Source organism: Homo sapiens, chromosome 11 (genome assembly GCF_000001405.40).
Source record: "Homo sapiens chromosome 11, GRCh38.p14 Primary Assembly".
Lineage (NCBI taxonomy): Eukaryota > Metazoa > Chordata > Mammalia > Primates > Hominidae > Homo > Homo sapiens.
The window spans coordinates 82,643,752-82,660,152 of NC_000011.10; the positions used below are offsets into that span (position 1 = coordinate 82,643,752).

The 16,401-nt window shown below is 36.8% G+C and overlaps 1 annotated feature.

Moving 5' to 3' along the window:
- Positions 9,711 to 10,211: an enhancer, noted in NCBI's record as "H3K4me1 hESC enhancer chr11:82364504-82365004 (GRCh37/hg19 assembly coordinates)". NCBI's record gives its function as "activates a minimal SCP1, AML or CMV promoter by ChIP-STARR-seq in primed H9 embryonic stem cells {active_cell/tissue: H9 hESC(primed)}" and the evidence as "EXISTENCE:reporter gene assay evidence [ECO:0000049][PMID:30033119]".

Below are 16,401 nucleotides of genomic sequence, written 5' to 3' on the forward strand. Positions count from 1 at the left end.
ATTATTTTCAATTAGGAAGAATGGCAACTGCCACTTAAATGCCATTTAAAATGCTAGATTTTCCCTAACTGATAAAATGCCAGCAAACTCACTGGCTCAGAAATAATTAAACCACTTAGCGTTTAAAAGGTGTGGTAGGTCAGGGGGTAACAAAATGAGATCTGCATGTCAAAAATATTGCCATGGATGCTACATGGAGAACAACTTAGAAAGGGGTAAGAATAAATGCAGATAGTCCAGATGGAAGGTCATTGCAGTAATCCCAGTTAAAGCTGACAGCATTCTGGACTAGAGCATTAAGTTTGGATTTGGTATTTCAGCCTACATATTTTAGAGGCCATCCCTGCCCCATCCTGGGAAATGACTGACAGAAGATCCTCTATAAAAAAATCAGAAGTTCTGTCTTTCCAATATTTTCTTGAAAAAAGACTGAATAAACACATCATTCAAGGCTCTGTAGCATCAGGCCATGTTCTGGAACTCCATTTAGAAAGAAGTTTTCCAAATCATCAATCCATGGCAGCACAGAAGGACTTTGAAAAGAAATCTGCTGGGGAGGTCCTAATGGGACAATGGAAGGCAAGCAGGAGGTATCCATGGCATTAATATGCTACACAAGAGGCTAACTCTGAGGACCCAGGGAAGGAATGCAGACATCATAACACAAAAAATGGCAGGCCCTTGCCAATTGCACAGGTGAGAGCAAAGCTAATGAAACCATACACCTGGGAGCAATTCAGAGTCAGTGAGAATGAGCCTGGACAAGTGAAAACAAATAAAGTTAATGAAGAGAAGAAAAAATAATGTACTTCTAATTCCATTTTTTCAATTAATAGCTAAGAAGCAGTAATCATTGGTCACATTCATCTTATCCCAAGCTTTTACACCATAAAATGCTGTGGGAATAGTTAAGAGGAATTCCAGTTTTAAAGTTCCTTTTAAATTAAACCCCCAAATTTATGGAGAACCTACTATGTTCTTGGAAAGAAAACAAAGGCGGAAAAAATAAGTAATAAGGTCAGTGAAAAAAAAATCTGACCCTCCAAGCACTCACAAAACGGAAAGCAAAGACTTAAACTGTTAATTATGAAAATAGAAACTATAACTTTGGGGGCAGTTAACATATGTCAGACACTGTGTCATGTGCATCCACATATTATTAACTCATTTAATCCTTAAGCAACTCAAGAGGCAAACATAATTGCTCCCATTTTTTTATGATGATTGAGAAAATTTAGACTCAAAGAGATTAAATAGATTGCCCAACATCACACACTCATATGACAATGAAATCTCTCTGGCTATAAAGTTTATGTTCTTTCCATTCTACCACATAGTCTTTACAAAAATTTAGGCTAAGGAATGATATAGGCTACATACAGCAACAAGACATTCAGTGATAACTTGAGGATGTCTGGGACGCCAGCTAGCTTGGCCAAAAAACAGAATATAGATAGATAACACCTACTCCACAGCTAACAGAGACAGTGTTGCCTGATGAATATAAGTAGGTACTTTGTTGCCTTACAAAATTATATAACCTGTCTTCATTGATGGAGGTTCTTTTTGCATTATGAGAATATCTCCAATTTTATTTGTGTAACTATCAATGCGGTTGAAATAATTTAATATTCCTATTTTATGAATGAATTGCTCATGTTCTCTGCTCAGTCTTCATCTTTGTCCTGATACCTCTTAAAAGTTTCTGTTTCTTTCTTTCTTTCATTCTGTTTTTTCTTTTACTACCCTGTTTGTTGAGGTATAATTGACAAATAAAATTGTATAAGTTTAAGACATACACTATAACTTGATATACATATATATTGTAAAATAATTACCACGATAAAGTTAGTTAACTTACGTATCACCTTACATAGTTACCACTTTGTGTGTGTGTGTGTGGTGAGAACATTTAAGATCTACTATCTTAGCAAATCTCAATTATATAATAACAGCAATGTTAACTTTAGCCACCAAGTTGTTCATTAGATTCCCAGAACTTATTAATCTTATACATGAAAGTTTACACACTTTGACCAACATCTCTGATGGGTATTTTATAAAAATATCAAATTATTTTAGCCTTTTTTATCCAATCTACCATTGATAGGCACGTGGGTTGATTCTACATCATTGCTGTTGTGAATAGCACAGAGATGAATGTATAAGTGCATGTGTCTTTTGGGTAGAATGGCTTATTTTCCTTTGGATATCTACACAGTAATGGGATTGCAAGGTCAACCATGGAATACTTTGCAGCTGGAAAGGAAATCATGTCCTTTGCAGTAACAAAGATACAGTTGGAGTCCATAATCCTAAGCAAATTAATGAAAGAACAGAAAACCAAATGCTGCATGTTCCCACTTCTAAGTGGGAGCTAAACCTTGAGCACACATAGACATAAATATGGGAACAATAAACAATTCAGACTACTAGCGAGGTGAGAGATGGAGGGGGTATGGGTTAAAAAACTACCTTGGGTTGTTGAGAGAGGAAGGGGGTATGGGTTGAAAAACTATCCACATCCTAAACCTCAGCATCATGCAATATTTCCAGGTAACAAACCTGCACCCCTGTATATAAAATAAAAGTTGAAATTAAAAAAATATATCTTAGCCCTTTATATCATCATTAAGATAAAGGTCTCCAGTGGCTAGTGAAACATGGTATATGTTACACCCATTGGAATTGGGAAATCAATGCAACAGAAGTAAAAATAGCATCTGGAATGTAGGTGGAAAATGGAAAAGGTAGAGTCCTGAGGCTGGTTCCCAGTTCCCATGTCTAAAAAGCAACTATGACACCAAGATTGGAAAGCAAAGCAAAAGAAGGAAGTATCTATTAGATACCAAGACTGGAACAGAAATACAAATATTAAATATCTTCTATGCTTAGTCCTTACTTATAAAATTGAGATGACACCTCCTAATGGAGTTGCTGTGAGACTCAAACAAATTAGTGAATGTGAGCAGTCATCATAAAAAGTAAAGTTCTGCATAAACGTTAGAAATCATTATTTTCATCAGGTACTTGGTAATAGGCAGAATTCTAATGATGTGCTCCTTTCACACCCCAGTATTCCCATCCTCTGATTATTCAATCAAACACTAATCTAGATACTTCTGTGAATGGACTTTGCAGATGGAATTAAGGTTACTAATCAGCTGACAATAAGATAGCAACATTATTTTGATCATCCAGTGGGCCCAGTGTAATCACATGAGCCCTTAAAAGCAGAAGAAGGCAGAGAGTGAATTGGAAAGATGCTATGGAAGAAGAAAACAGGGGAGATTAGGAAGAAGAGGAGGGCATCAGAGAGATTCAAAGTTTGAGAAACACTTAATCTACCATTTCTGGCTTTGAAGATGGAGGAGGGAGACCAAAAGCCGAAGAATACAGGTAGCCTCTAGAAGTATAGAACAACCCCTGGTCAACAGTCAGTAAGAAAATGAGGGCCTCAGTCTCCATAAAACTACATAGAACCCAATTCTACCAACAATCTGAATGAGCTTGGTAGTAGATTCAGTCTCAGAGCCTCCAGAAAGGAATGGAGCCCTACTGACACCTAGATTTTGGCCTTATGACACTAAAGAAAGCAGCAGCTAAGCTCCTTTGTACCTGAGTTTTTGACCTACAGAAACTGAGACATAAATTTGTGTTTCTTAAACTGCTATGTTTGTATCATTTTGTTATAGAAAACCAATATACCAATAATGCAACAGAAATAAAAATTTCTGGTTTTTATTATTATTTATTATTTATCCATCTAGCTATCTCCTTATCTAGACAATGTCCTGTGATCATTTTTACCCAGATTTTTTCCCTAATTAATTCTACCTTTAAGAGCCCTGAAATTGACCCTCAAAGACACTCAGAATTTATCTACCAATTTGTACAGATGTAGGTCTAGACATAAACTAGTGAAGTGTGAGATTGATTCTTCACATTGGCAAATAGGTAGACATTGAACACTAGAATTACAAACAGTCCTACTTTTTAAATATTAATAATTATATTTTCAAAAAGTTAGATTAAAATTTTCATCTTTATGTAAACTATTTTGATTAATATCCCCAAATGCTGCTCAATATTCCTGTCCAGTTCTTGTAAATAGTATGCTGATTCATGAGAACCTTTGGAACCATATATTTAAAAAAAAAGAAACATTTCCTAATGATTGCTGGGCAATACTATAAAACAGTGCATTTTAGGCAAAAAACTATTGCATTCATGCTACCTAACAAGAAAGACTTGACAAAATAGCTATTTTGCCTTTCTCTTTACTTAAAGCTTCTGCTACTCAAATCCTCTGTCCATTCAAAAGAGGCGTTTATTTTGACATGAATTGAGGCAAACTCACAAAACTTCAAGCACTCATATTCAGTTGCCTTTTGAGAATATAGGGCAAGAGATATGGAGATGCACTTCCCCGAGACTTGAATGGTGGTAATCATAAGAGCTAATCTTTAGGATAATGGGTCACAATGTGCCAGGGTGATCACTGGATTCTAAGTGAAAGAGATATCCATGTGCTCTTTAATAAATTTTATTTCAGTGGTGTTTTATCTTCTATAGAAACCTCTCTTGCCCCATTTGAAGGATGATACTCTTTCTAAGGATATTATTTTGATACTAAAGATGCTATTTCCTTTCATCATCTTCCTGAAGAGCATACCATTGTCAAGGTAAATAAGCATCTATGCAATGTGACACAATAAAAATTTAAATTTGTATTGTTAAGCCACACATATGTACACATATACACACACATACTTCTATGCAAATTCTGAAATCTGTATAAGTCTTTCTTACAATCAAAGTATGTTAATTGTTTTTCTCCTAATTAATCAAAGTTTGCATTACTTTGTGGGGTCAAGAGGTGCATGTTCTATTGATCAATAAAGGCCAATTACAATATTACTTCTAGTGCCACCACTAAGTTATTGGAATCATCGTAATTATAAATGGAAGTTGCAAGAACTGTATAGCTAGAAAATAATCTTAAATTCACAACAGAAACATAAAACATGAATAAAAAATCCATTAGAAAAATGTGCCTTCAGATTAATGATAAATGCTTCACTTATCACTTTTATTGCCAGATTCAAATGATTTCCAGATGGTTTTAGCACTTAATTTGCATTCAGCACTCAAGTATTGAGCAGTTAACATGCATTCCGTGCATATTTCCGATAGTTTCTCAATAAAACAAATGTGGATTTAAATAATCTATGTTCTGTTTTTCTTCCTAAAGATTATATCCGCAAAGACTTACTCTGTAAATTACATTTCTATTCATCATATCCTCCTCCTCCTCCTTTCTTCTGCTCCTTCTTCTCCTCCTTCTCCTCCTTCTCTTTTGAAATAATGTTTGAGATTATTTCAAAATAATCCTTCCATTCAAAATCCCTTTGCCATGTCCTCCAGCACAGAAGAATAAGGCATGAATAATTACAGCATAGTTTTTTATACATGGCGTATCAAAGTCTATGTAAATACATATATAAGTAACAATAATGCTCCTTGGATACAGACATTCAGGTTCACACTCAACTTCAAACAGCAGAAAGCATGGCACTATGAAACGAGCATGAACTTTAGATCCAGGCAACCAAGTGATGGAACCCCAGTTCTTCCACTGGCTAGTAATGTGACATTGAAAAGTCTAATTAGATTCTCTGAAACTTAAGGCTTCATTGGTAAGATGTGGATAATTGACATTTGCTTTAGGTTAATTTAAAGGATTAAAGAAGACAAAGACTATAAATCTCATGCACATTGCCTTACCCATTGTGCATGGTTAATTTTATGTGTCAACTTCACTGGTCTAAGGGATACCCAGATAGCTGGTAAAGCATTATTGCTGGATGAATCTGTGATGATGTTTCTGGAAAAGATTAGCATTTGAATTAGTAGACTGAGTAAAGAAAGTTCACCCTCACCAATGTTGGGGGGCATCATCCAATACATTGAGGGTCCAAACAGAGCAAAAAGGCAGGGCTTTCTTCTTGAGGTGTAACATCCATTTTCTCCTGCTTTCAGACATCAGGGCTTCTGATTCTCAGGTCTGTTCAGATTCTAGAACTTATACCAGCAGCCCCTCTGGTTCTCAGGTCTTTGGCTTCAGATTGAATTATACCACAGGCTTTTCTGGTTCTCCAACTTGCAGATGGCATATCATGGGACTTCTCAGCCTCAGTAATTTTGTGAGCCATTTCCCAGAAGAAATCTTCTCATATATATAAATCTTCTTATATATATGTATTAGTCAGAGTTCTCCAGAGGGACAGGACTAATAGGATAAATACATATATATATATATGTATATATATATGTCTGTGTGTGTGTATACATATATATATATATGAAGAGGAGTTTATTAAGGAGTATTAACTCACACAATCACAAGGTGAAGTCCCACAATAGGCCGTCTGCAAGCTGAGGAGCAAGGAATGGCTTCCTATATATATGTATATACACATATATATACACATATATATACACATATATATATATACACATATATATACACACATATATATACACATATATATACACATATATATACACATATATATATATCAAAAACAGGTGGAAAGGATGCAAAAATACATAGTTATAAGCTCTAATAATATAAAATAGTAAATAAAAAAATCAGAAAAGGAAAAATAGGGAATAGTGGGCTCCAACTTTCCAATTAGAGAACTCTGTTGTTATCCTCTGCATAGATCTTAGAAGAATAAAATATTCACATTTCCATTTAATAATTCCTTAAATTTTTCTCGTGATCTGGGAACTCTGTACACGTACTAAATATTAAGACTGTCTGGCTTGCAGAACTCTAGAATCCAGGCTAATACCATTGCATTGGATGATGTGGTGTGCCACCTAGATCTCCCTTCATGACTAAAAATCTTCTCTCCCAGGTGCCAGAAATTGTGTCAGCAGACAATCCTCAGCTGTCAGCCCTGCTCAAGAATGTCTCAGCTGAAGAATCCCCAAGTTCAAAGCAATAGTCTGAGCTACTACTTGTCAAAGCCCAGTGACTGATCAATGTGAAAATATAAAGGTCCAGCCCTCTTCATCTCAATGCAGAAAGCCCATTCCAGCTTCAAAACTCTCATAGGGTCAGCAGAGGTCTTCATTGACAATGCTTCATAGTCCAAATTCTCTTTGTCCAATTCTGCTTTTTCCCCTTCCTTTCCGTAAATGTCTATCCCAAGGGTTCCCTAATAAATTTCTTATCTGCTAATCTCTACTTCCTAGAGAATCCAAACTGCAACACATCTCAGGCAGCAAATGAGAAGATTCTCTTCGGCGAAATCCGACCAGCCTAAGGAAAAACCCTAAAGATAGCAGTATCAGAGACTTCCCAGTGAAACTATTTAGCCAGATCTCTCCTTGGTAAAGCCCACAGTTGACAAGAAACCCTACCAATGTACACAGAGCTCATAATTACTTTTTTATTTTCTACTCTTAAATATAAATTGTCAATAGTAATCACCAGCCATTTGAGAAAAACACTTTAAAATGAAAGACATGGGCTAAGGCAAACAGAAATTAGCAACTTGAGAAGATAAAACTATAAAGGGAGATAAAGCCAGAAAAAAATGCAGTCAAAATTTTTGAAAAAATGAGAGAAGGCACTGCATCTATAAGCCAAAAATAAAATTTTATTAAAAAATCAAAAGAAATGTTCAGAAATCATAGGAATTGGAAATTCCAGATTATGGTAATAGTAATGAAATCTTCAGTAGAGAATGGGAACACAATGTTGAGGAGCTATCCTAGAAAGCAGAATTTTTTAAAGAGAGAGAGGAAGAGAGGGGGAGGAAAATAATGTAAATTTAAAAGATTGGTTCTTTTTGTTTGACATCCAAATATTAGAAGTGCTGGAATGAAAAAACAAAGAAAACTTTTTAAAAAGAAATCACCTTAGACATAGAGAATTTTCCTGAAAAAAAAAAAAGAAGTTTTTATATGTTTAAGGGCTCACTGAAAGCCCAGAAGGATGGATAATAACAGACTATACCAAAGTATATCAACAAAAAATTTCAGAGCTATAAGAATAAGAATAAGGAAAAAAGTGCTAAAAGTTCTATACAAGTTTTATACAAGAAGATTTTAAAAGCTATATACTGGTTCTTTACAAGGGAGAATGAAACTTCTGATTCATTGGACCTCTCAGAGGAAACTAGAAAAGAGTAATGGCTTTTTTTTTTCTTTTCTTTTTTTTTTTTTTTTTGAGACAGAGTCTCACTCTGTTGCCCAGGCTGGAGTGCAGTGGCACGATCTTGGCTCACTACAAGCTACACCTCCCAGGTTCAAGCAATTCTCCAGCCTCAACTTCCCGAGTAGCTGGGATTAGAGGTGTACACCACCACATTGGGCTAATTTTTGTGTCTGTAGTAGAGACAGGGTATCACCATGTTGGCCAGGCTGATCTCGAACTCCTGACTTCAAGTGATCTACCCACCTCAGCCTCCCAAAGTGCTGGGATTATAGGTGTGAGCCATGCACCTGACAGGCTTCAAAATTTAATGGGAAATTTATTTTTAACTGATTAGTCTATACCCAATCAAGCTATCAATTATGTGTGAGGGTAGGATAAAGATATTATCTAACATGCCAGGTTTTAAAATATTTACCTCTAATGCGCTTTTCTTTACAAAGTTTTTAGAGGCTATGTGAGTGTTAAACAATAAAAGAACAAGAAACAGAATCAATATATAATGACGTGCCTCTCACATTAGCAAAAGGCAAAGGGAATGATGATACAGGAGATTCTGGGGTGACAGCTCAAAAATACAGACTTCTTTTTTTAAAAAAAAGGACTCTGAACTAAACTTCTTTAAGAAGATAAAATTAATAAAATATCTGATGTGTTTCAATATGTTATGAGGATATTTACTCAACTTTGGGTGAGTTGACAGATGAATTTATTTTAAATACCTAAAAAAGCAAATAAAAATCAAGACTTGTATTAACTACATGCAAAATAATCAGTTGAACAGGAAAAAAAAATTTACCTTATTGCTTAGCTCTGAAGAGAGTTGACATAGTCATAATAATGTAAACTCTGAATATTTACCTAAAATTATGATATATTTGGGAAGTTGGAGGATAGGGATATGGTTTGGCTGTGTCCCCACCCAAATCTCATCTTGAATTATACTCCCATAATTCCTACATGTTGTGGGAGGGACCTGGTGAGAGATAATTTGAATCATGGTGGCAGTTTCCCCCATACTGTTCTCAAGGTAGTGATTAAGTCTCATGAGATCTGATGGTTTTATCAGGGGTTTCTGCTTTTGCGTCTTCCTCATTTTCTCTTGCTGCCACCATGTAAGTACTTTTCACCTCCTGCCATGATTCTGAGGCCTCCCAGCTATGTGGAACTATAAGTCCAATTGAACCTCTTCTTTTTCCCAGTCTTGGGTATGTCTTTATCAGCAGCATGAAAATGGACTAATATAGTAAATTGGTACCAGTAGTATGGGGCATTGCTGAAAAGATACCCAAAAATGTGGAAGCAACTTTGGAACTGGGTAACAGGCAGAGGTTGGAACAGTTTGGAGGGCTCAGAAGAAGGCAGGAAAATATAGGAAAGTTTAGAACTTCCTAGAGACCTGTTGATTGGCGTTGCCCAAAATGCCGATAGCAACATAGACAATAAGGTCCCGGCTAAGGTGGTCTCAGATGGAGATGAGAAACTTGTTAGGAACTGCAGCAAAGGTGATTCTTGTTATGTTTTAGCAAAAAGACTGGTGGCATTTTGCCCTAGAGATTTGTGAAACCTTGAACTAGAGAGAGATGATTTAGGGTATCTGGCAGAAGAAATTTCTAAGCAGCAAAGCATTCAAAATGTGACCTGGGTGCTATTAAAAGCATTCAGTTTTAAAAGGTAAACAGAGCATAAAAGTTTGGAAAATTTGCAGCCTAACAATGTGATAGAAAAGAAAAACTCATTTTCTGAGAAGAAATTCAAGCCCGCAGCAGAAATTTGCATAAGTAATGAGGAGCCAAATGTTATTCCCCAAGACAATGGGGAAAATGTCTCCAGGGCATGTCAGAGGTCTTCATGGCAGCCCCTCCCATCACAGACCCAGTGGCCTAGGAGAAAATGGTTTTGTGGGCCAAGCCCAGGGTCCCCCGTGCTGTGTGCAGCCTTAGGGACTTGGTGCCCTGCATCCCAGCCGTTCCAGCTGTGGCTGAAACAGGCAAACGTAGAGCTCAGGCAGTGGCTTCAGAGGGTGCAAGCCCCAAACCTTTGCAGCTTCCATATGGCATTGAGCCCGCCAGTGCACAGAAGTCAAGAATTGGGAACCTCTGCCTAGATTTCTGAAGATGTATGGAAATGCCTGAATGCCCAGGCAAAAGCTTGCTGCAGGGGTGGAGCCGTCCTGGAGAACCTCTGCTAGAACAGTGCGGAAGGGAATGTGGGGTCAGAGCCCCCACACAGAGTCCTTTACTGGGGCACTGCCTAGTGGAGCTGTGAGAAGAGGGCCACCATCCTCCAGACCCCACAATGGTAGATCCACCAACAGCTTGCACCATGAACCCAGAAAAGCCACAGACACTCAATGCCAGCCCAAGAAAACAGCTGAGAGGGAGGCTGTACTCTGCAAAGCCACAGGGGTGGAGCTGCCCAAGACCATGGGAGCCTACCTCTTGCATCAGTGTAACCTGGATGTTAGACCTGGAGTCAAAGGAGATTATTTTGGAGCTTTAAAATTTGACTGCCCCACTGGGTTTTGGACTTCATGGGCCCTGTAAACCCTTTGTTTTGGCCAATTTCTCCCATTTGGAAAGGCTGTTTTTACCCAATACCTGTATCACCCATTGTTTCTAGGAAGTAACTGGCTTGCTTTTTATTTTACAGGCTCATAGGCGGAAGGGACTTTCCTTGTCTCAGATGAGACTTTGGACTATGGACTTTTGCGTTAATGCTGAAATGAGTTAAGATTTCGGGAGACTGCTGGGAAGCCATGATTGGTTTTGAAACGTGAGGACATGAGATTTGGAGGGGCCAGGAGGGGAATGATATGGTTTGGCAGTGTCCCCACCCAAATCTCATCTCAAATTGTACTCCTATAATTCCCACACGTTGTGGGAGGGACCTGGTGGGAGATAATTTGAATCATGAGGGCAGTTTCCCCCATACTGGTCTCATGGTAGTGAATAAGTCTCGTAAGATCTGATGGATCTTTATTAGGAGTTTCCACTTTTGCATCTTCCTCATTTTCTCTTGCTGCCACCATGTAAGAAGTGCCTTTCACCTGAGTGCCTGAGGCCTCCCCAGCCATGTGGAACTATAAGTCCAATTAAACCTCTTTTTTTCCCCCAGTCTTGCATATGTCTTTATCAGCAGCACAAAAATGGACTAATACAGATGGTAAGTGTGTATGTCTATGATGGGGCCAGGAAAGAGATGAAAAGTGAAAGAGAGCTAAATTTTCATCTTCTGTGGTGGGAAGTTGATAGATAAATGCCCAAAACTAAACAATCAATGAGTAGCAATATAGGCAAGTGATTTAGAAAATTGAAGGTAAATATGTAAAATTAGGCATAATTTAATCAAAACTGTTAAAAGTATGCATACCTCTCTAAACTGGGAAAATGGGGTAGGTCACAGAGCTGAAGACTGCCTTTTTTAAATAAAACCAGGGTCAAAAAAATTGAGTCTTTATGTGCATACACAACTGGATAAAAATAAAGGCTAAATAAAAATTACTCTCTCTCTTAAATTATATTCTAAACATAGGAAAATTATTTATAAGTCTTTCTAATCTACATTCTAATCTACTCTTTAGTCTCTTTTCTCATCTCTCTTCACCCTTATGTTCTGTTTTAACTAAACTTAATGACTCACAGTTTCTTTCAGATGAAGAAATGGTTCATGTGCCATGAAAGGACTCTTAACTTTAAGCTTTAGTCAAAAAGTGGGAGTTACTGAGGGTTTTAGACAGAGTAGTGTATAAGTGTGGAGGATAAATTAAAAGGAGACCACTCTATACACATAGAATTAATTTAGAAGGCTGTTGTGAGTCAGTGAGGAGGAAGAAGAGAAACTGAACAATGAGGAGTCCAAAAATCTAAATATTGGTCAACACTAAGTTATTATATAACCTGAAGCAACTCACCTAACTCCTCTAATCCTTGGGTTCTTCAGGTGAAATGTACAAATGGAAGATGGTTTGCACCTAATCTGGTTCTTTTTCAGGATAAATATCTTAAGGAATGTCACCATCATGCACCCAACAGTTCAGGTCAGAAATCTGTGACTGATCTTTGATATCTCCCTCTCTGTATCCATATCTCATTAGTCACCAAGTCCTTTTGGTTTATCCAGTAATATTTCTTGAGTATATTTATCTCCACGCACACTGGGATAATCCTAGTTCAAGCCACTTTTACCTCACATTAGAACTATCACAACTAGTTTCTTTTATCTACTTTTGTCTTCCTCCAATCTATTGTCAGTGTATTTGGAGTGATTTTCAAAAAGCAAATGTGATCATCTTACTACCTCCCTGAATAACACCTGTCAATGGTTTTCTTTTGCTCTTAAGATAAAGATCAAAATCCCAAACATGGATTCCCATTGATTTCAAAAAATTGAAGAGAATAATATTCTTCCAAACTATTTTTCTGGCCAGCATTATCCTGATACCAAACCAGACAAGGATATTACAGAAAAAGAAAATTACAGGCAACTATTCCTGAGAACCTAGATGCAAAATTTCTCCACAAAATACTAGAAAACCAAGTACAACAGCACATTAAAAGAACCATACACCACCATGATCAAGTATGATTTATCTCTGGGAAGTAAAGATGATTCAACCTACTCAAGTCAATAAATATGATACATAACATTAACAGAATGAACAAGAAAAATCATATACTCATCTCAATAGGTACAAAAAAGGCATTCAACAAAATTTAACATCTTTTTATAATAAAAATGCTCAACAAGTTAGTGTAAAATGAATGTACCTCAACAGAATAAAGGCCATATATGACAAACCCACAACTAACAGTGCAAAGTTCAAAGCTTTTCCTGTAGGACCAGAAATAAGACAAGATTTCCCACTCTCAACACTTCTATTTAACAGTATTGAAAGTCCTAGCCAGAGAAATTAGGCAAGAAAAAGAACTAAAAGGCATCCAAATAGAAAAGGAGTAAGTGAAATTGTCTGTTTGCAGACAACATATAGAGAAAAAACTCTAAAGGTACCACCAAAAGAAAAAAAAAAACTTTTAAGAACTAATAAAGAAATTCAGTAAAGTTGCAGGATCTAAAATTAATTCAAAAAGCAGATGCCTTTCTATGGACTAAACACAACCTATCCAAAAAAAGAAATAAGGAAATTAAGAAAACAATCACGTTTACAATAATGTCAAAAAGAATAAGATACTTGGGAATAAATTTAACCAAGAAGGTGAAAAACCTGTACACTAAAACCTATAAAACATTGATGATATAAATTGAAAATAAATGGAAAGATATCTTGTGTCAAGGACTGAAAGAATCAGTATTGTTAAAATGCCCACGCTGTCCAAAGTAAGCTACATATTCAATGTAATCCCTATCAAAATTCCAGTAACATTTTTCACAGAAGTAGAAGAAAAATCCTGAAGTTTTTATAGAACCAAGAAAGACCATGCACAGCTACAGCAATCTTGAGCAAGAACAAAGCTAGGGGTGGCACACTTACTGATTTGAAATTATATTACAAAGCTATAGTAAACAAACAGTATGCACTGGTGCAAAAACAGCCACATAGACCAATGGAACAGAATAGAAAGCCCAGAAATAAACCCATGCATATACTTCCAACTAATCTCTGACAAAAACACCAAGAATACACAATGGGGAAAGGATGGTCTCATCAATAAATGGTGTTGGGAAACTGGATATCTACATGCAAAAATATATAATTGAATCCTTCTCTTACACCACCCACAAAAATAAACACAAAATGGATTAAAGACTTAATGTAAGATATGAGACCATAAAAGTCCTAGAAAATAACACTAGGAAAAGCTCCATGACATTGGTCTTGGCAATGATTATTTTCAACATGACACCAAAAGCACAGACAACAAAACCAAAAATAAGCACGTATAACATCAAACTAAAAGTTTCTGCACAATAAAGGAAATAATTATCAAAATGAAAAGGAAACACATAGAATGAGAGAAAATATTAGAAAACATATATCCAATAAGGGGTTAATATCCAAAATATACAAGAAATGTATACACTCAATAGCAATAACAAACAAACAAAATTACTCTATAAAAAAATGGGCAAAGGACCTGTTTATTAGTTCGTTCTCATGCTGCTATAAAGACTGGGTAATTCGGCCGGACGTGGTGGCTTACACCTGTAATCCCAGCACTTTGGGAGGCCGAGGCGGGTGGATCACGAGGTCAGGAGATCGAGACCATCCTGGCTAACATGGTGAAACCCCATCTCTACTAAAAATGCAAAAAAATTAGCCAGGTCTGGTGGCGGGCACCTGTAGTCCCAGCTGCTCGGGAGGCTGAGGCAGGAGAATGGCGTGAATCCGGGAGGCAGAGCTTGCAGTGAGCCAAGATCACGCCACTGCACTCCAGCCTGGGTGACACAGCGAGACTCCGTCTCAAAAAAAAAAAAAAAAAAAGACTGGGTAATTTATAAAGGAAAGAGGTTTAATTGACTCACAGTTCTGCATGGCTGAGGAGGCCTCAGTGAACTTACAATTGTGGTGGGAAGGGAAGCAAACATGTCCTTCTTCACAAGAGAGAGCAGGAGAGAGAAGAAAGAGAGCCGCCAAGCGAAGGTGGAAACGCTTTATAAAACCATCAGATCTCATGAGAACTCACTACCATGAGAACTCACTCACTATCACCAGAACAGTATAGGGAAAACTGCCCCTCATTATTCAATTATCTCCACCTGGTCCTGCCCTTGACATGTGGGGATTATTACAATTCAAGGTGAGATTTAGGTAAGGACAAGAGCCAAATCATATCAACCTGAATTTTTTCAAAAAAGACATACAAATGGCCAAAAGGTTTATGAAAATGCACTCAACATTACTAAACTGATTTTAGAGAAATGCAAATCAAAACCACAATGACATATCACTTCATACTCCTTAGAATGGCTATTATCAAAAAGTCAGATTGTAACAATTGTTGATGAGGATGTGAAAAAGGAGTCCTTATATGTTGTTGGGGGGGAGGTAAATTGGTACAGCAGTTATTGAAAACAGTTTGGAGGTTTCCCAAAAAATAAAATAAAAATAGAACCACCATGTAATCCAGCAATCCTACTTCTGGATATATATCCAAAGAAAACAAAATCAATATGTTAAGGAGATATCTTCAGTTTCATGTTCATTGCAGCATTATTCACAAAGCTAATATATGGAAACAGCCTAAGTGTCTGTTGATGGATGAATCAAAAAATAAAATGTGAAATAGGCTGGGCGCAGTGGCTTACACCTGTAATCCCAGCACTTTGGGAGGCTGAGGAGGGCAGATCACTTGAAGTTCAGGAGTTCCAGACCAGCCTGGCCAACATGGTGAAACCCCTGTCTCTACCAAAAATACAAAAAAAAAACAAACACGATTTAACCAGGCATGGTGACAGTCACCTGTAATCCCAGCTACTTGGGAGGCTGAGGCAGGAGAATCCCTTGAACCTGCGAGGCAGATGTTTCAGTGAGCCAAGATCACGCCACTGCACTCCAGCCTGGGCAACAGAGTGAGACTCTGTCAGGAAGGAAGGTAGGAAGGAAAGAAGGAAGGAAGAAAGGAAGGAAGGAAATGTGAAATAAATAAATATGTGGATATATTTTATTGAAATAAAATTTCAATTTATTTTATTGAAATAAATTTTTATTGAAATATTTTATTTATTGAATAAATTTCATTGAAATAAATTTTATTGAAATGTGAAATAAATAAATATGTGGACATATATTACATGTGGACAATGTAATATTCGTCAAGCTTTGTTTAAAAGGAAATCTTGAAATGAAATGGGTGTATTTGGAAGACATTATGCTAAGTAAAACAAGCCAGACACAGAATGACAAATATTACATGATCTCACTTATATGTAGAATCTAAAATGTTTAAACTCATAGAAACAGAGAGTAAAATAATGGTTAGCAGGGGTCAGGAATGGGAAAATGAGGAGATGTTGGTCAAAGGGTACAAACTTGTATTTGTGAGATTTGTAAGATGGTGAATAAGTTCTGGACACAATGCACAGCATGGTGACAAATAGTTAATAATAATGTGCTGTACACTTGAAATTTCTTAAGAAAATTGTATTAGTCAGGGTTCTCTAGGGGGACAGAACTAATAGGATGGAGATATATATATATATATCTCTTTATA